Source organism: Homo sapiens, chromosome 10 (genome assembly GCF_000001405.40).
Source record: "Homo sapiens chromosome 10, GRCh38.p14 Primary Assembly".
NCBI classification, from domain to species: Eukaryota; Metazoa; Chordata; class Mammalia; order Primates; family Hominidae; genus Homo; species Homo sapiens.
The window spans coordinates 23,733,418-23,753,892 of NC_000010.11; the positions used below are offsets into that span (position 1 = coordinate 23,733,418).

The 20,475-nt window shown below is 39.9% G+C and overlaps 1 protein-coding gene across 1 annotated transcript in view, besides 1 other annotated feature; it reads left to right on the forward strand.

Annotated features, from left to right (window-relative positions):
* The window catches only part of KIAA1217, an 853,117-nt gene that overhangs the window by 38,691 nt on the left and 793,951 nt on the right, over window positions 1-20,475 (forward strand). The gene's annotated exons all lie outside the window — the stretch shown is intronic.
* Window positions 9,234-9,283: a silencer, noted in NCBI's record as "silent region_2220". NCBI's record gives its function as "represses an Ori minimal core promoter by ATAC-STARR-seq in GM12878 lymphoblastoid cells {active_cell/tissue: GM12878}" and the evidence as "EXISTENCE:reporter gene assay evidence [ECO:0000049][PMID:35858748]".

Sequence of the window (20,475 nt, forward strand, 5' to 3'; positions counted from 1 at the left end):
TCCAGGGCTGTGAAGATACCAAAATTTGTAGATGCTGGAGTCTTTTCTATAAAATGGCATAGTATTTGCATATAAACTTTGCATATCCTCCTGTTTATTTTAAATCATCTTTAGATTACTTATAATACCTAATACAAGGTAAATGCTATGTAAATAGTTGTTATGCTGTGTTTGTTTTAAAATTCATATTATTTTTGTTGTTATGTTTTTTTTTCTGAATATTTTCTATCTGGGGTTGGTTGAATCTGCATATGCAGAAACCGTGGGTATAGTACCCGCCAGATAGAGAGGGCCTCCTGAATTGTAGTATATGGCACCTATAGGATTTTAAGTGCCTGCACTTAACTGTATAATAGCTGACACTAGATTATTAAAAATGTGTTAATTTGCAGTAACTTACTGCTTCAATTATCATTTTTGGTTGTTAGAAAGACTGAATCTTTGTCCTTGTATATTTTCCAGTTGCATTTTGTCTTTTATAAATTGTTCTTTGTTACTTGGCAGTTTACTGCATTTTAAATATTTTTCAGTATATCTATATATTCCTGATTGTTCCTTATCATGATAAGGAAAAACACATTTTTTCTTTCATATGTTTTTATCATGTAACATTTAATATGAAACATTGATGTAGACATGTGAATTATAAAAATAATTCTTTATTATTATAATGCCAACTTCACTGGAACCTCCCAACTTAGTAGGAACCCAACTTAATGAGAACATCAGCACCTAACTTAATGGAGTCTTACTTGGACCAATCTCTGCACTTATGTTTTCTTCCCTGCCCTCCCCTTATCTTCCCTTCATTGGAAAGCACTATTCTTACTTTAGAAGTTATCATTGCCTTTGAATTTAGATTTAAACCTTTTTTTTTTTTTTTAAATAAGACAGAGTCTCACTCTGTGGCCCAGGCTGGAGTGCAGTGGCATGATCTCAGCTCACTGCAACCTCTGCCTCCCAGGTTCAAGCAATTCTCCTGCCTCAGCCTCCTAAGTAGCTGGTATTACAGGTGCATGCCACAACGCCTGGCTAATTTTTTTGTATTTTTACTGGAGACAGGATTTCACCAGGTTGGCAAGGCTGATCTCAAACCCCTGACCTCAGGTGATCCACCTGCCTTGGCCTCCGAGAATGCTGGGATTACAGGCATAAGCCACTGCACCTGGCCAAGTTTTAAACTTTTTATCATACACTTAATTTCTAAACAATAGTTTGTTTGATTTTATTATTTTTTGGATTTTTTTAAAAAATATTCTTACACTATGTGATTTCTGCAACTGGCAACTCCTGCAACATTGTTTCTGTGAGTCATCCATGTTGCTGCATTTAGATATGGCTTATTCATATTTATCATGATAAATTTTCTGTTGAGAGATCATGGCACATTTATTTACCTTTATTTTAAGTTCAGGGGCATATATCAGGCTCGTTATATAGGTGAACTTGTGTCATGGGTGTTTGTTGTACAGATTATTTCATCACCCAGGTATTAAGTCTATACCTGGTAGTTATTTTCCTGATTCTCTCCCTCCTCCCACCCGCCACCCTTTCCTTCCATAAGCCCCAGTATGTGTTTTTCCCCTCTAAAGAAAATATCACAATTTATTTGTTTCTTGTTGATAAACATTTGAGTTTAAAAAAAATCGTTATTATTTTAAATAATGCTGTTATGAATATTGCTATAGGTGTCTGTGTCTACAAAAGTACACATCTAAGGATTTCTCTAAAACATGTTCCTGGGAATAGAATTACTAGGGTAATTATAGAGTATTCAGAGCTTCAATTTAAAAGTATAAAGCTGTATTATTTTATTTATTTATTTATTTATTTTGAGATGGAGTCTAGCTCTCTCTCCGGGGCTGGAGTACAGTGGTGCGATCTCAGCTCACTGCAACCTCCACCTCCCGAGTTCAAGCCATTCTCTGCCTCAGCCTCCTGAGTAGCTGGGATTACAGAGTGGCATACCACTTTAATTTTCTCCAGCAGTGTATAAGAATTTCTTTGGATCTGCATCCTTGCCTATACTTTATATAGTTAGACTCAAATTTTTATAAATCTATGGAAGTAAAATAGTATAGTATTTTAATTTTAAAATTATATTTTTTTCTAATTATTAATAAGAGTGTGGCATCTTCTTGTATGTTTATTTGCCATTTTTGGGTCCCTTATCTGTGAAATGCCTTTTTGTGTCTTTTGCTCATTTTTTAATTAGGTTATTTGCTTTATTCTCATTGGGCTCAATGAGATCTTTATATATTATGATTACCATTTCTTTGATGGTTATATGTGTTACAGATACCTTTCAGTTTTTGGCTTATCTTTTCACTTTCTTTGTGATATCTTATTTAAACACCTTTATTGAGTTATAATTGACATACAATAAATGACACATATTTAAAATGTATAATTAATCATATTTTGACATATAGACATATGAAACAATCAACCATCAACATAATCAAGATCATGAACTTACCCCACATTCCCAGAAGTTTTCTCATGAACACATATTTCATTCTCTCTTGATTAAATACCTAGGAGTGGAATGGCTGTGTATATGATAGGCATACATTTACATTTTATCATAAGAAATTGCCCAACTATTTTCCAAAGTGGTTGAACTACTTCACATGCCAGCTGGCAGTGTATGAGAGTTTCATCATGATACATTTTTATGAACACACATTCTTAATTTTAAGGTAGTCAAATGTATCAATCATTTATTTCTTTACTTCTTTGCACATGTTATTTAGGAAATTCTTCCCTGTCTGAGACTGTAATGACATTCTCCTGTATGTTTAAATTTTTTAGGTTTTGACCTTTTGCTCAAATCTTTGATCCTTTGTTGTGATATGTGCAGTATGGTGAGTGTGGTATGACACACAGATTTAATTTTATTTTTCCTATATGGACAACCAGCTGTCTCAGCACCACCTATTGAGTTGTCCCTCCCTTTTCATGTGATCTCCAGTGCCGCCTTTGCCAAACATCAAGTTTTCCTGTATGAGAGACTCAGTGTTTACATCTGTATTGTTTCAGTTGTCTATCCTAAGCCAGTGTGACACTATGGTAATTAATCACTACACCTTTGTGATAAGTTGTTGTTTTTTAGAGATTTTAGAGATGGGGTCTCGCTTTGTCACCCAGGCTGGGGTGCAGTGATGTGAACATAGCTCACTGCAGCCTCAAACTCCTGGGCACAAATGATTCTCCCACCTCAGCTTCCCATGTAGTTGGGACCACAGGGACATACCACCATGCCTGGCTAATTTAAAAAAAAATTTTCGTAGAGATGGAGTCTTGCTGTGTTGCCCAGGCTGGTCTTGAACTCCTGGCCTCAAGCAATCCTTCTGCCTCAGCCTCCCAAAGTGCTGAGATTACAGGCATGGGCCACCGCACCCGGCCTATAATAAGTTTTGAGAGCTGTTGGTGCAACTGCCCTTAACTTATTTTTCTTCAGCAGTTTCTGGGCTATTCTTGGCCTTTGTTCTTCCATATATATTTCGGAATCAGCTTGCCAAGATCCATAAAAAAACACTTCTGAGATTTTGAGTGAATTCTATTTAATTCAAAGATCAATTTGAAAAAAAATTAAAATCTTTACAAAATTGGGTGTTCTGACCCGTGAACATGGTTTCTTTCCCTTTATTTGAATCTTTAATGTCCTTCAAAAGACTCTTATAATTTTATTAGGTATGTCTTGCACATCATTTGATATATTTATTACCAGATTTTATGTATGGAAGGCAAATAGTGTGTTTTAAATTCTACCAGACTTACATTAACATATTTTTTTTTGAGACGGAGTCTCGCTCTGTCATCAGGCTGGAGCACAGTGCATGATCTCAGCTCACTGCCACCTCTGCCTCCCAGGTTCAAGCGATTCTTCTGCCTCAGCCTCCTGAGTAGCTGGGACTACAGGTGCGCACCACCATGCCTAGCTAATTTTTTTTTAGTAGAGACGGGGTTTCACCATATTGGCCAGGATGGTCTGTATCTCTTGACCTAGTGATCTGCCCACCTCAGCCTCCCAAAGTGCTGGGATTACAGGTGTGAGTCACCCGCACCCGGCCACATTAACGTTTTAATAGAAGTTTAGTCCTTTGCTTTTCTAAATTTTCTCCCATTGCCCCTCTCCTCATTGCCCCCAAAGATTACCACTTTTCTATCAGTTTAATATGGAATTTTACACAAAAAATTATTTTCATTCTAAAACAGAATAAAAAATAGTACACATATTAAAAAAGATGAAATTTTGCTTTCTGTTTTTCATTCTGTTACTGTATCATAATAAAATTATTTACATTTGTGAGAATACATTATTTTTCTCATAGTGATTAATGAATTAATTTAAGTACTTTTAGGTAGAGAACTGATTTCAGTGCCCATTGACAGTTATTTTCTACTAAAATGTCTCTATTTTTTGGATTCACAGTTTTATTAATCTCTTGGTGGTCTGGATGATATTGTTAGCTAATTTTTGTAGAAAACTTACTGTGTGGCAAATTTATAAGACTTTTTCATCTTGTAGCTGATTTTTTTATAATATTCATTTGCAGGGATGATCATTAAACATAAGTCATTCTAACATATAAATAGCACGTAGATATATATATAAAATCCTTGAATCATAAACTTCTCCCTCCACGCATAATACTCTGCCTTGTTTTTAGCATTTGTTATTGTAGAGGAGATATGGAAAAGAAAAGTATAGTTGATTTTTCCCCCACTTTGGTTAATTTTAGGACTTGTTGAAAAAATTCTTTAAGTTTAAAATTTTTATGAGGCTATATTTTAATATTTATTTCTGCTCATTAAGTTTCTCTGGAAGATGTTACACTATCAATTTCTAATGTCAAGTTTGCTTTTTAAGGTCTGGAATGTTTTATTCTCTCATATCTCTGATTATTGCCTCTCACTGATTCATTTGTTCTTGCATTGGGCAGTTTTCTTTCGAAGGTTTGGCATTTAAATATGTCATTGCCTTATGTGTATTTTTCACATTGTCATTTATTTGGCCTCTACTCTGAAAATGCTTCTCAAGTTTATTCTCTACAATTATAAATTGATTTTCTGCGTGCCTGCTGATTTTATTTGTTGTTACATATTTCATTTTCTTGTATCTTTTTCAGCCAGTTCTTGTTTAACACATTATTTTTTCATATTGGGTTCAAAAAGTAGATATCTTTAGAAATGTTTTTTTTTCTATTTCTTCAAATCCAAGAAGGAAAATGGTGAGCAGTGAGGAGGCAGATGATTTTCCTTTAAGCCATTATTCTTTGCTTTTCTTGGGCAGACAGAATTTATGGATAGATATTGATTAATTAATTCAGCACATATTTATCGAGCACCTACTATGTGCCAGGTACTATTTCAGGCCCTGAGGATATAGTAGTGAACAAAACAGGCAAAAAAAGTCCCTACTTTCATGGCGGTTATATTATACTGAGGGGAATAGGGAATACACATACAAATAAATAAAACATTTGTACATCAGATAGAGGGATGTGCCCTAGAGAAAAGTAAAGTAGGGAAAGGAGAGAAGAATTTTTGGATCAGGTGCATGGGTTGCTTTTAAACTGAGAAGGTAAAGAATGATTGGATAAAGAAAATATGATATATATGCACAATGAAATACTATTCACCTATAAAAAGGAATTAAGTCATGTCTTTTGCAGCAACATGGATGGAACTGGAGGTCACCATTTTAAGTGAAACAATTCAGAAACATAAAGTCAAATGCCACATATTCTCACTTATAAGTGGGAACTAAACAATGTGTACACATGGACACAGAGTATGGAATGACAGACATTGGAGACTCGAAAGGGGCAGGTGATGAGAAATGACTTAATAGGTACAATGCATGTTATTTTGGGTGATCGATACACTAAAAGCCAAGATTTGACCACTATGCAATATGAGCATGTAACAAAATTGCACTTGCACTCTTAAATTTACACAATTTTGTTTTTTAAAAAAGTAGATAAAGATATAGGAAACAGAGCATTCCAGGTGGAAGAAACTATGTTGCAAAAACCTCTAGTGGGTGCATGTCAGTTGTGTATGTTTCATAACAAGAGTGTCAGCGTGGCTTGAGCAGAACAAGCGAGGGAGGGTGAGAAGTGATGTCAGAGAGGGACAAGGGATGAGGTCCAGTGAAAAGGTCCGGCAGGGCTTTCTGGCTTTTGCTTTTTTGTACATGAGATGGGAATGTGTGGAGGAGGTATGAGCAAAGGCATGGCATAATCTTACATTTGTTGTTACAAGATCACTCTGGCTGCTGGGTTAGGAATTGACTGTAGAGGCCAGAGTAGAGGCAGGGAGACCCGGGACGAGGCTCCTGAGAGATCCTGTGGATCTCACCTTGTGATTCCAGTGAGACATGCTGGCAATTACAGCAGGTGGGAGCAGCAGCGGAGAAGTGCTGGGAGTTCAGCTCTAGATATATTCTGAAGCAGAGCCAACATGATTGGCTGAAAACATTAGATGCCAGGTGAAAGAGAGAAGAGTTACGGATAAGTCCAAGGATATTTGCCTGGGAACCAAAATTGAGTTGCCACCTTCTGAGCAGGAGAAGACTGAGGGGAGATGAGATTTGGTGAAGATGGGGGGGTTCCATTTTATACATCTTAAATTTGAGATGCCTATGTAAGTGGAGCTGACATGTAGGAAATTGGATACACCAATCTGAAGCTCAGGGGAGAGGTCAGGCTGGAGAAATGATATGAGATTCATCAGTGGCTAAATGGCATTTAAAATCATAACTCTAGATGACAGCAAAGGAGGGAGTGCTGATAGAGAAATAGATATGTTGGCATTTTCATTTGTATAATTCACTTTTGACTTTGATTTGTTCATTTCTACTTATTTTACACAGTAGTCTTCTGAGATTGGTTTTAGGGCTCCTGTGGTGTAGGTTATGTCATGTAAGCACGTATTAGATTGTTTTAGTTTTTGAAACAGGGCACTGTGTTGCCCAGGCTCGAGTGCAGTGATGCAATCATGGCTCACTGCAGCCTCAAGCTCCCGGGCTTAAGCAATCCTCTAGCCTCAGCCTTACAACTAGCTGGGACTACAGATGCGCACCACCACACCCAGTGAATTTTTTAAAATTTTTGTAAAGATGGGGTCCTGCTATATTGCCCAGGGCGGTCTTGAACTCCTAGGCTCAAACAGTCCTCCCATCTTGGCCTCCCAAGGTGCTGTGATTACAGGCATGAGCCATTATACCTGGCCTTGTTTTGATTTTTGAATGTAAAAGTTCCACCCAGGTCTGTCTCAGAGGACCCCATCTCATCCTTGTAGCCATCCTAAAGTTTTCTTCTAGACCTAAAGGTTGTATGTAGGTTGAGATTAAAAAAAAAAAAATGGGCGCATGCCTGTAATCCCAGCTACTTGGGAGGCTGAAGCAGGAGAATTGCTTGAACCAGGGAGTCAGAGGTTGCAATGAGCCAAGATCGTGCCATTGCACTCCAGCCTGGGGGACAGAGCAAGACTCTGTCTCAAAAACAACAACAACAAAAAACAGGAACAATAAAAATCTTATTTTATGCTTGGGATAAAGCAGACATCCATCAAATGTTAGTTTGCTCTTTTAGATATGGATGTCCTACCCTTTCTGTAGTTTAGCTGTCCAGTAATTGGTCCAGTAGTACACATAGCCGCAATCTGTGTCTTCCTGGGATGAATTTAAGGCTGCTAGCAGAAAGAAGCCTCTTTCTACTGAATTAACTAATTAATGTAATTCTGGATTGGCAAAAGTTATTCCCTTGCTGCACAGAGGAAGCATAGGAAGAGAGAACACAGTCTTCATAAAAAGGAAAAAGTGAGGTGAGGGGTCAGAGAGAATACACACTCTGACAACATTCTTTAAAGATCCTGGATCCAGCCATGCCTCAAGTCACCGTAGGATGGCTTCTTCCCCCTTCCTTGCCTCTCTTCCTCCCTTTCTTCTCTCTTTTCCTTATTTTTTTTCTGCTTATGCCTTTTGAAATTGGCTATTTGCAATTGGAATGATTCTGACTAATTTCATGCCTGTTCAATCCTTCAGGTCAAGGCAAGGGAAATAAAGAGACTACAAGTAGTTCATTGAACAAAGAAAGCACATTCAGGTCCTTATTTCACTAACCCCCCTTTTCAGCATCTCAGAGATGACATCAGTAGGTTGCTTCAGGAGACACTGGTCTGTAAGCACATAGGCTGTACATGCAGAGCCAGCTCTGGGTGGCCTGAGCTGCCAGCCACTCCCAGGATGGGGGTCAGTGGTATACGAGTTGGTGAAAGTTCATGCCTCCCTCTGCTTAAATTTAGTGGGAGAGCCAAACATCAAACAAATCCACATGTAATCTAGGTGATAAAGCAGAATAGGGGCTAGGGATATAGGCACAGGGGATAGAGCTCTGTTGTGGATAGGTAGAGCAACACTAAGAGGTGGCCTTGAAATGGTGTAAGAATGAAACAAGTGATGGGATGAGGCCATCTGGGGATATGGAGTCCAGGCACAGGAAGTCAGGAGTCTTTGGGTGATTTATGAGCAGGTGAGTGATGTAGTTTGATTTATTCTTTAAAACCATCACTCAATGCTCTAGAGAACTGACCTTAGGGGCAGGCAGGCCAATTAAGGGCTAATGTAATGGTGGCGCAGGTAGGAAGCAATGGGACTTGGACTGAGTGATAGTGCCAGGAAGTCATCGTAGAGCTGGAGATCAAGCTGATGGGAGTTGTTGGTGGAGTCGCTCTGGGGTTTGAGTACATGATAAATATCAAAAAATGCATGCAAGATTTTTGCCTGAGTCAATAAGTCCTTGTGCCATCTATTGATAGGGAGAAGTGTGAGGGGTAGATGTCTGGAGGGGCCTGCCACTGAGCAGGACGCTAGAAGAGTGTGACATCTTGGAAATCATAGGCATGATTGTTTTCAGGAGAAGGGGGTTGTGTTAGGCTGTTCTTGCATTGCTATAAAGAATTACCTGGGACTGGGTAATTTATAAAGAAAAGAGGTTTAATTGGCTCACTGTTCTTCAGGCTGTGTAGAAAAGTATGGTGCTTGCATCCGCTCAGCTTCTGGGGAGGGCTTGGGGAGCTTCCAATCATGGCAGAAGGCAAAGCAGAAGCAGGCACATCACATGGCGAAAGCAGAAGTGAGAGAAAGAGTGGAGGGGGAGGTGCCACACACTTTTAAAGCAGTCACATCCTGTGTGAACTCAGAGCAAGAGCTCACTTATCACCAAGGGGATGGCCCAAGCCATTCATGAGGAATCCACCCTCATGACAAAAACACCTCCCACCAAGCCCCACCTCCAACATTAGGAATTACAATTCAGCATGAGATTTGGGTGAGGACAAATATCCAAACTGTATCAGGGGTTGACTCTATCAAACACTGATGAACAGCCAAGGTACAATGAAGACTGAGAAATTCCCATTGGGTGGGCCATGATCATCATATAACAAGAAGGTTTGGGAGTGTAGGGGTTCAGGGGAGATCTGATTCTTGACCATGTGTTCAAGGGACAGTCCCTTTGCTGTGCCAACTGCTAGAGGAGAGCAGAATGTGCAGGCTGCCCAAACCTGTTCTGCCTCTGCAGAAGGGTTGAAAGTGATGGGTTGGATTGCCTGGGATCAAAGCCAAAACTAGCACCACTGAAGCAGTGTGGGGCAGGGGAGAAAAACACAGATTGCTGGGAATTTCTGCAAGATGATTTTGGCATCATCTTTATGGTACGTTTGAATGTGGCCTGCATAGGAAACCAGAAAGTTGAACTTAATACAAAATTGGAACTTGCCTCCTGATGGGCCCCAGGTGACAGATGAACTTTGAAAAAAAAAAAAATCAGTGTTTACGGTAGTTCTTACCACAGTATGATCGGTAATTCCACCCAACACCTATTTCCATGATTAGCCTGGTTTTCTTATTTCTTTTGCAATTCACCTCTAAGCCAGGCATGTGATATGTACTAAAATCAACCTGAGGGACAAAAAAATTCTCTGGCATTTAAATGGATTTCACATGTGCCACTTCTAAAAATTCCCAGCAAGAGGGGACATTTCTATTAAGACATTCCACTGGAATGAATTGATGGCTGCCTGAATTGTACAATTATATTTGCTCTAAGGGATGAAGGATCTAAAGAATAGAGGAAATGAGGGTAGTTAGAATACAACAATTATAATTATGGAGCTCACACGCTGCTATGTTGAGAGAAATGATCAGCAGCCACTTCTCTGACACTGCAAGATTTTATGTTTTGGAGTTCTTAAATTTGAGGGTTATTACCCTGAGTTACCCAGTGTTATAAACTTTTATTTGCAAATTGCATTTATAAAGAGTGGCTATAGAAGGCAGGATAAAATATAGCCAGTAAAATTTGCACTGTCTCATAGTTTTACTAGTTTTCCAAAACAACTTTCATTGGGCTGATGTTTGAATGTTTGGTTAATAGGACCATGTTTTTGCGTGTTGTTTTAATTTTCAGAAAAAAAAAAATAAATGTCTCTGAGAACCCAGGAGAGGGAGTAGTTAATGTTTCCTGACAGGGATCAGGAAAGACTTCAGAAAAATGCTAACATTTGGCAGGGCTGGAAGGAGAGATAGTTTTCTAGTAGAAAAGTGGAAGAACACATCCCACGTAGAAGGGAAGCATCCACAAAGACGAGACCACTTAGAACAGCTAGATGGGCCTGGATCAGGGCCAAATCCAACAGGAAGTTGGCAACCTTGGAATTATGGGCTTTAAAGATAGGGGATGGCCTTAGTGGTGTCTGTAGCCCCCAGCTAGCAAGGATGTGAGCTACTAGGTAGCCTGTTGTCCCAGGGACAGAACTGAATGCCATTTCTTCTTGGGTACTTTCCCGCTGCTTTTAACATTTGGGTGACCCCAGAAGAGGATCCAAATTGGCGTTTTTCAGGTCTAAAGGTCAATTTTTGCTTCTAGAAAGATGTGTAGGTTACCTCTAGAGCCAGCTGAACTGCCTAATTCCTCAGAGGACACACTAGGGGAAGGGAAATTGAGGAGGTGTCAGTGGAAGGTGACAAAGTTGGAGCTTCCAAAGGTCACACTTTTATTGACCACTGTTAAGCCAGACAGGGTCGCATCCCGAGTGTATCATAAAGGGTGTTTTGGGAGAAGTAGGCATAACAAGTCTCTCCAAAGGCAGCCCTGGGAAGTACGTGGAAAAGGCATGATGGAAATGATTACGGAAGGTTATGCTGGGACTGGGTAATTTTCCATCAGTCTTAGTTATTAAAAGCATTTACCCCGTGTTAGGGTTTTGCAGAGAAACAGAACCAATAGGATGTACTTGTATGTCAAAAGATTTATTTTAAATAATTGGCTCACATGATTATGGAGGCTGGAAGGTACATATTCCTGTGATTTTGAACCTGTGAGTTGGAGATAAAGGGAAGAACCAATGTTGTAGTTTAGGTTGAAGGCCAGCTGCTTGCTGGCAGAATTCTTGCTTGAGGGAGGTCAGACTTGGGTCTGTTAAGGCCTTTAACCGACTGGATGAGGCCCAGCTCCATTATGGAGAGCAATCTGCTGTATTCAAAGTTCACTGATTTAAATATTAGGATCACCCAAAAAAAATCCTTCACAGAAACTTCCAGAATAATGTTTGACTATATATCTGGGGACCATGGGCCAGTCATATTGACATATAAAAAGTTAACCATCACAGCCTCCAAAGACTGACGCAGGAGGGGATGCCCCTTTAGAGCTCAATGTCTCTTGATTGTCTTTTGTTGCCAACAAAACATGAATTTTAAAACTACTTTTTTCCATGTCGATGTATCCCCAGTGCCTATAATATAACTTAGCACATAGTAGGTGCTTAATAAATATTTTATAAATAAACAAATGATAGGATAAATGTTTGAGTTCAATTATTTGAAAGCACATTATATGACACTCTAGTTATTTCCATTCTGGACAGAATGTTTGTGCTAATGTATGTAATAACATCACGTCGAGTTGCTCGGTTTGTCTGGCTTGTGTTCCTATACTTCCTAGGCATAAATTGGGCATCTTTGGAAATTGGTCGTAACTTTTTCATATTACTGATTATCATGGAGAAATTGGCAATAGACTTCAATACATGATGTTTCCGTGTGTCCTGCTGAGAAGCTCTCACCCAAGTGAGAAAGCTAATGAACCGTCTGAGGAGTTTTAGCTGTATATATATTACAGCACATTGAAAGGGAAAGAGAAATGATGTATTTTCTTTACCAGCAAAGCTTGTGAAGGCTATTTGTAACTGTACTTGGCCCACCGATAATTTGTAGCCTTGGAAAATGTGACCGACAGGTGTGGAAGTACTCCTGGAGCCCATGGTAGAGTGAATGATAAATCATAGCCTTGTAGATGGATGGGAGACAGGACTGGCAAGAAGTTCATCAGCAGTGGGTGCAAATACAATGAGCAATGAATAAAATAATATGCATCTGATTTTGTCTGCAAACAAATAAAGAGAAGGCTAACCCATACTTACCTTCCTTTCATGGTTCAGACTTTCCTGATATTTTATGCCCTTTACAAACACCACTTTTTGAAGGACTACACTGAATGTCATTCACCATGTTCCCTGCCCTCCAGTAACTTATTGCTGCCATTTGTTTGTTCCCTACAAATCTCATGTTGAAATTTGATCTCCAGTGTTGGAGGTGGAGCCTAAGAGGAGATGTTCGGGTCATGGGGGCAGATCCCTCATGAATGGCTTGGTGCCATCCAAGCAGTAATGAGTAAGTTCTTCTATTAGTTCCAGTGAGAACTGCCTGTTTAAAAGAATCTGGCACCTCCATCCCCTCTGTCTTGCCTCCTCTTTCACCATGTGATCTTTGCACACACTGGCTCTGCTTAGCTTTCAGCCATGAGTGGAAGCAGCTGAAGCTTCCCCAGAAGCAGATGCTGGTGCCTTGCTTCTTGAACAGCCTGAGGAACCGTGAGCCAAATTAACCCCTTTTCTTTATAGATTACCCAGCCTCAGATATTCTTTATTTTTTATTTTATTTTATTTTTTCGAGACAGAGTCTTGCTCTGTCACCCAGGCTGGAGTGCAGTGGTGCGATCTTGGCTCACTGCTAGCTCCGCCTCCCGGGTTCAGGCCATTCTCCTGCCTCAGCCTCCCGAGTAGTTGGGACTACAGGCGCCCGCCACCACGCCCAGCTAATTTTTTGTATTTTTAGTAGAGACAGGGTTTTACCGTGTTAGCCAGGATGGTCCCGATCTCCTGACCTTGTGATCCGCCCACCTCAGCCTCCCAAAGTGCTGGGATTACAGGTGTGAGTCACAGTGCCTGGCAGATATTCTTTTATAGCAACGTGAATGGACTAAGAGACATTCTAGATAGAAGTTTGGGGCAGAGGTGTGTATGCACCTTTCCTAGTTGGTGGGACAAAATGATTTGCTTCAGCTACAATTTTAGTAGCTGAAAACTTAACAGAAAACAGGGGTCAAGGTAAAGGGTTAATGGGAATCATTCTCTGCCAGCAGCTGTAGGGAAGGAGAGATAGAGATGGCAAAGGAAGGATTAAGCAAAGTGTGCCAAGGGAGTATCTGATTATAGTGAAGGAAGTAAAAAACTATAGGAGGTAAAGAAGAAACTAGAAAAACTGGCAGAAAGGCTTGAAACCATCAGGAAGGAAGCGAAGACTACGCAGGGCCTAGGGGACTATCTCATTTGATAAAGCACTTTCTAGTATGCATGGCACTCATCTCAGAGGAACGTAATCTGATTTGGCAAAGAAAAATACCTCTTTGAATCTCTGGAGAGGAAACTAGCTAGAAACAAGAAGGCTGCTGGGGCGATGACAGTAGCCAGAGGAGTCTTGAGGAATAAAAAATAAATGAAGGTAATGAAGATGTCCAGGGAAGTATTGGCATTTATTTATTCCAGACTTTGGATGAAGATGGAGATGCATCTTTTGTTTCCTGGGCTTCGGATCCTGGGGCACTGGGGTCTCTCAGAGGTTTTATGAAGATGATAATGGGGTGGGTTTCAGGAGAGAGATAAAGACTGTATCTTTGGTGTAAGTCCAGGCAACAGAGAACAGTTCAAGGAAATATGCTCCCACATGACCACACATGAGCCTCTTGAGTAGGGCCAGGACATGTCAAGAAGGGAATGACTATCTGCACCAAGATAGTTGAGACAATTAAGGAAGGACATTTCCTTATTAGGAAGGGATTGAGAATAGATCCCAGAGGGAGCATTCATAAATAGTGGAGGAAATGATGAAAATGAAGATTTAAAGAAGATACAAAGGTCAGAAAGATACAGAGAACTAAAGTCAGAAGTGAGTTCCTTCAGAAGCCCAATCTAGAACTGGCTGGCCTCTTTGCAAAAGGCCCAGCTTCTTGCTGAGCTCCGGGGATTGTTTCTGTGACTGATACGTGATGAATCCATCTCCATGTTTCCTGCTGCTGCCCTACACTTAGATTTCCCCAAGAATACAAGCTAGCTAGACCTGGGCTGTTTTGCAATGAGAGCCAGTTTCTCTCCTCCCTTATCCCCAGGAGTGACTGTTGTGCGCTACACCTGGATTCCCTGGGGAAGCTCAGTGAATTCAAACCTGCAGGTGTGGAATCAATTCCATTGGAAACCCCAAGGCCAGTTGACCAGTTCCTCCAGACTGCACACCTCTGACATTCTCAGGTGCTTCTCAAAATGGAAGCCCCTCCAAGGTAGGTTATCTGTTCTCTGCAGCCCAACCTGCTCTGTGTGTCCTCCCCTTGGCCCAGCCTCCCTCACTCCCTCTCTCCAAAACCTATGCACGACATCTTTTGGAGTGCTTGTTTCCTAGTGAACAAAAGTCCTTTCCTTCATCCTCCTCTTTAGTAGAGGGTCTTTATCCCTGGGTCTTAACTGACACCTTCCTCCAGCTCAAGAATTTTAATTTTCTAGCAGCCTTCCGATTGTAGATTCTATGAGAGCAGGAACCCCATGTGATTTGTTTACCCAGAATTTTCTTAGCATCTAGCACAGCCCCAGCACTAGCAGGCACCCAAGAAATGCTTCTGGAAGGAAGGAAGGAAGGAAGCAAGGAAGGAAGGAAGGAAGGAAGGAAGGAAAGAAGGGAAAGGAGAGGAGAGGAGAGGAAAGGAAGGAGAGGGGAGGGGAGGAGAGGAGAGGGGAGAGGAGGGGGAGGGGGACGGAAGGAAGGGGGGAGGGAAGATGGAAGGGAGGGAGGATGGGAAGGAAGATGGGAGGATGGATTTGCTTATTTGCCTGCAACCTGTGTTTTCAGAGTCAGTAGTTGGGGTTGAGACCCCTCTATTTTCCCTGTGCCTTTTACAGGTAACGTTTCTTCTTCCTCTTATCCACGGTCCTGTGAGGTTCATGCTGTCTGGTTATAAAACCCACTACCCCATCACTGTCAGCACTACCTTCCTACTTCTGTTCTTCATGTAGTAAAGGCTTTGCTGTCTGGCTCCTGTATCTCCTTTACCCCAAGTCTAGGGTAATGTCAGTGTCTTAAAAAATGATCCACTCAACACTCCAGTTTTTTGGTCTCTTGACTTCCTCAATACTAGTGAACTTCATCATCACTTCTCTGCCACCATCCACCCCTGGCTTCGTCCTAGAGCTCGTCATCACCTGCTGTTATACCACATCTAACATTTTTGTTTTTATTGGTGTATATTTCCAGAAGTGGACAATTAGTGTTCATAAAAATGTTCTCTACACCACTGACTTCAATTCCTCACCACGTAGACACATCCTGATTCAATCCAATCAAGCATTTATACTACCAAGATCCCCAACTCATTTGCCATCTGCCTCCTTTTTGTTAAATCCACTGTGGTTTTCTACCTTTATTTCAATTGACAACTTGGCAGCATGTACCAATTTTAACCACTGCTGCCTTCTTGAAATGTTTTTCTTTGGCTTCCTTCACACTTACTCTGATTCTCCTATGTCTCTTTCTCCAACTCCCTTTGTTCTCTGCCATCTTTACCCATTTCTAAATGTTGGTGTCCCTTAATGTTTAGTCTTTTGCTTTTTTTTTTGAGACAGAGTTTCTATCACCAGGTTGGAGTGCAGTGGCGCCATCTTGGCTCACTGCAACCTCCGCCTCCTAGGTTCAAGTGATTCTCCTGCCTCAGCCTCCCAAGTAGCTGGGACTACAGGCATGCACTACCATGCCCAGCTGATTTTTGTATTTTTAGTAGAGATGGCATTCACCATGTTGGCCAGGATGGTCTTGATCTCTTGACCTTGTGATCTGCCCACCTTTGCCTCCCGAAGTGCTGGGATTATAGGCGTGAGCCACCTCGCCCGGCATTTTGATCTTTTTTCTTTGAATTCTACACTTTCTACCTGTGATTTCTGTCTTTCCTTGGGCTTAAGTAATAATTTGCATACAGATGTTTTCCAAATTTAGAGATGCCTCAGCCTAGCTTGTGAGGTCCAGACAGTTATCTCAAAGCTATGTGCTGATTGTACAAAAGGGACTAATATTGACTTCAAACTCAACCTGTTAGAAACTAAATGCAATATACCAACCATCTCCACAAATTTTCTTTGTCTCCTGTGTTTTGTTTCTTTCCGTTTCCTTTCTCTTCTTCTCTTCTCCTTTCCATTCCTTTCTTTTCTTTTCTTTTTTTGACCTTCCTCACGTATCTTGATTCTGTTTTCTTCTCTCCAACTCCATTCCCACAGCTTCTGGCCATCATCATCTACTACCTAGGCCATTGCAGTCCTTTCTTAAACTGCTTTCCAGATATCTATTCTTAATTCCATCCAATTTAATATCCAAACTGTCAGCTTTCTAAAATGAAAATCTGATCATGTCATTCTTCTGCTTAATGCCCTTCCATTTCTCTGCATTGCCCTTAATAAAAGTCTAAATGTTTTGTCATGGAATATGCAACCCTTCAAAATGTAACCCAAGTTTACCTCTTCTGCTTCAACTCTTGCTGTCCTTCTCTCTACTGAATCCTAATAGTCCAGCAGTCCTAAGAATTCAAGAATCTGCCATTCTTTCTAATGTGTCTGTTTCAACTGCCTAGAAACAGCCTTTTTCTTACCTCTCTTTAACCTCCTCTTCACAGTTTGGCTTTTGTGATGTCCTCTACGGTGGGCTTGGTGGCTCTCCTTTGTGTTCTCACATGCACAGTCCTTTCTTTCACTGCATTATTATTGCATGTTGTATTTGCCCCTTTACGCCTCTGTCTCCATCACTAGACAGAATGAATGCCTTTGACGGAAGGCACTCAAATCACATTCTCTGTTAACTCCCCAGTGCCCAGGACCCTGGCTTGATATACACTTGTTCAATTAATGAATGACTAATTGAAGAGCTTGAATGAGGGGCTGTGACTGCGTAATGGTGGCACAAATGCAGGAGGCTTCTAATAGCAGCATCTTGGCAGAATGAAGTGTTGGTCCTATTTTACATGATCATTAATATGGTCAAGTACTTTCTAGCTAGGAAAAATATAGATTTTAGTGGTTCATCACCAGGCATGCACTTTGAATTTTCTACTCATGATGTGCTGACCTTAAGATAATTCCTTTCCCTTCCCTTCCCTTCCCCTCCCCTCCCTTCCCTTTCTTCCCTTTCCTTCCCTTCCCTTCCCTTTGTTTTTTTTTTGTTTGTTTGTTTTGGTTTTTGTTTTTTTGGATACAGAGCCTTGTTCTGTCACCCAGGATGGAAGGCAGTGGCATGATCTTAGCTCACTGCAACCTCCACCTCCCAGGTTCAAGGAATTCTTGTGCCTCAGCCTCCCGAGTAGCTGAGATTACAGGTGCATGCCACCTTGCCGGGCTGAATTTTTTATTTTTAGTAAAGCTGGGGTTTCTCCATGTTGCCCAGGTTGGTCTCAAACTCCTGAGCTCAAGCTCTCTGCCTGCCTCGGCCTTCCAAAGTGCTGGGATTACAGGTGTGAGCCACCGTGCCTGGCGAGAATTTTCTACAATACCATGTGAGGTGTCCCATGCACCAGGACAAATGTGTTGTCTAGAAAGTTTATTCAATCACGTATTTTAATAATTTAAATCAGTGAGGATCATATGTACTGAAGCATTTTTGAAAGTATGCAGAAAATGAGTCTTCTAGTTTTTACTTCCCTATGTTATGTGTCATGAGGTCCTTACAGGAGCTAAAATGTCTTTTTTTTAAGATGCCATTTCTCCAACTCTTCCCTAGTCCCCTTGAACTTACTTTCAGTATTAAAAAAAAAAGAAATTTCTTCTTATTTTACTGTGATTGACCAAACTAATTTGTGACTGTGGCTAGTGGTCTTGAAAATTAAAATAATTTCATTCATTTAGCAAATCTGGTTGAAGAAAAATGTGAATAAAAAGTTTTTTCTTCCTGGTTTTCTTTACTGTATTTTAAGCCATCTGCAGGGGCTTCTTGTGAGATTATCTGTCTTGAAGATATTTGTGACTAATTACAAGCAGTGTAACCTGGGAGAGAAGCTGTTCAGGCTGAGGATTTTAAAACGATGAGATGAGAGAAAATTAGCAGACATCTTTTATTATGTCTACTGTCTTTAAAAGTCAACTCTCTGGAAAACTATTTTTATAGGCAAAAAGTAGGTGGGTATGTGGTATGATTATTTGTTTTACTTTTGAGGGCAGATGCTGTACCTCACATCATGAGCAATCCACCCTCATGTTAGAGGGAAGATGGAGTCGTTTCTGGGTGTTTGTGAACTCTTGGTAGAGCCAACTGAATGTCAGTTTCTATTATTCTGTGGTGAATAATAACTCAAGTAATTTTCATAAAGAAACAGATTGAATTTCACTGTGAACATTTTCATCAATTCCTAGAATCTTGGAATTTCGCTAATTAGCGAGTTGGAAGTATTGTATTATGTGGGAGGGGGATTTAATGAATTAAAATACTATTAATTTTGTCTCTTTTTGTTTTGGTTCCTGAGACATTTACATTTTATTGACTCCTTAGATATGGGCTTAAGCAAGTCTCTTTTTAAGACAGGAAGTCATTGAACAAATTATTTGTGAGCTCCAAGAGTAGGCTGATTTTATTGCTTCAAATTATGTGTGGGGGGAAATGTACTTTGATCCAAATGTTAATTGGATACTGAAGAATTGTTTCTGAAAATTTGACTATTTTTAAACAGCTTGATATAGGCTCCAATTAAAATAACCACATATAACGTTCATTTTTATTTTCATTAACTCAGAATTAAGAACTGTGTTATAATTTTTGAATTCATGCAATATTGCACTTTCTCAATTTCCCTCAGGTATCATTTTTGACTATGTTTACTTGGAAATTATGCTTTTTACTCTTGTATCAAAGGCATTAGTTATGACATGTTACTAATGAATGTAAGCATAAAGGAATGATATTTTTATTAAATCCTAGGCATTATGTTTTATTCAGTGTCTTTAGATTGCTGGTTTAAAAAAATTCCATCAGAAACCAAAGTGAATGGGTATTACCCAACAACTTCCACAGGGCAGCCCTGTGCTAAGCTACACATACTACAATTTATCACATTTAAGCTCTGCAAGAGCCTTGTGAAGAATTATCACCCCCATTTTACACAGAAGGAGTTGAGGCACAAAGAAGTTAAGTGCCTACCCCAAATTCATACAAATAACAGTTGGTGGATTTGAGATCATGGGTTTTTTGAAATCAGTGATAGATGCTCTGCGTTTTGGTTCTTCAGTTTCATGCTTCTTATTTTTTATGGGGGCTCAAATCATTGTATAGAAAGCATTCTGTGCCTACTTGCAAAAAGATTTCAGATTTGACAAATAGTGGTGCCAAAAATGGAGCTGGCAAACACAAATAGAGGGAAAACTGGCTAAGACCAGTGGCATTGGTTATAAGCAGAATATTCACCAGCATTGCTTAAAGCTTTATAGAAAGAAAAGATGACATCCTCAGTATGAGGATTAGGAGACCATTTGTAGCTCAAGAAGCATGACCATTAAGCTTCTAGCTGTTAATGGAAATAATCTGAGAGCTTTGCACTGTACGAAGCTGTGTCTGTTTGATTGCTTCATCTGTACATTTGCTTGTGAACATAGTCAATCAAAAATCAAAGAGCTACCTACCTGTTTCTTAGTTGAAGCTGTAACTGTAATAGTTTTATAAGATTTAGGATGCAAGCTAGGAATTGAATTTGGAGCTCTTACAGACTGTGTTCAATTGGGTTGACTCAACTTGCTATAATATATTTTCAAAACATTTGGGAGTAGGAATCTCACTGATTGAAGCAAGAGTTATCCAGACTTCTAGTTTCTATTGAATGCTGGAGTACAAATTGGGGGTCTATTTGATAATAAGCAAATTAATCTGTTTTAATGATTAAAAATAACATTATGTCTAAAATCCAAACTAATCTCAACAGTTTATCAATGAAAAGTAATTAAGAACTTTTGAAGAACCATCACGTCTCCTGTGATTTTTAAACATCTATTTTTAGAACTTAGAGAAAATCATAGATCTTAAAACTTTGATTCTCGCTTTCAACTTTGCCTTAAGAT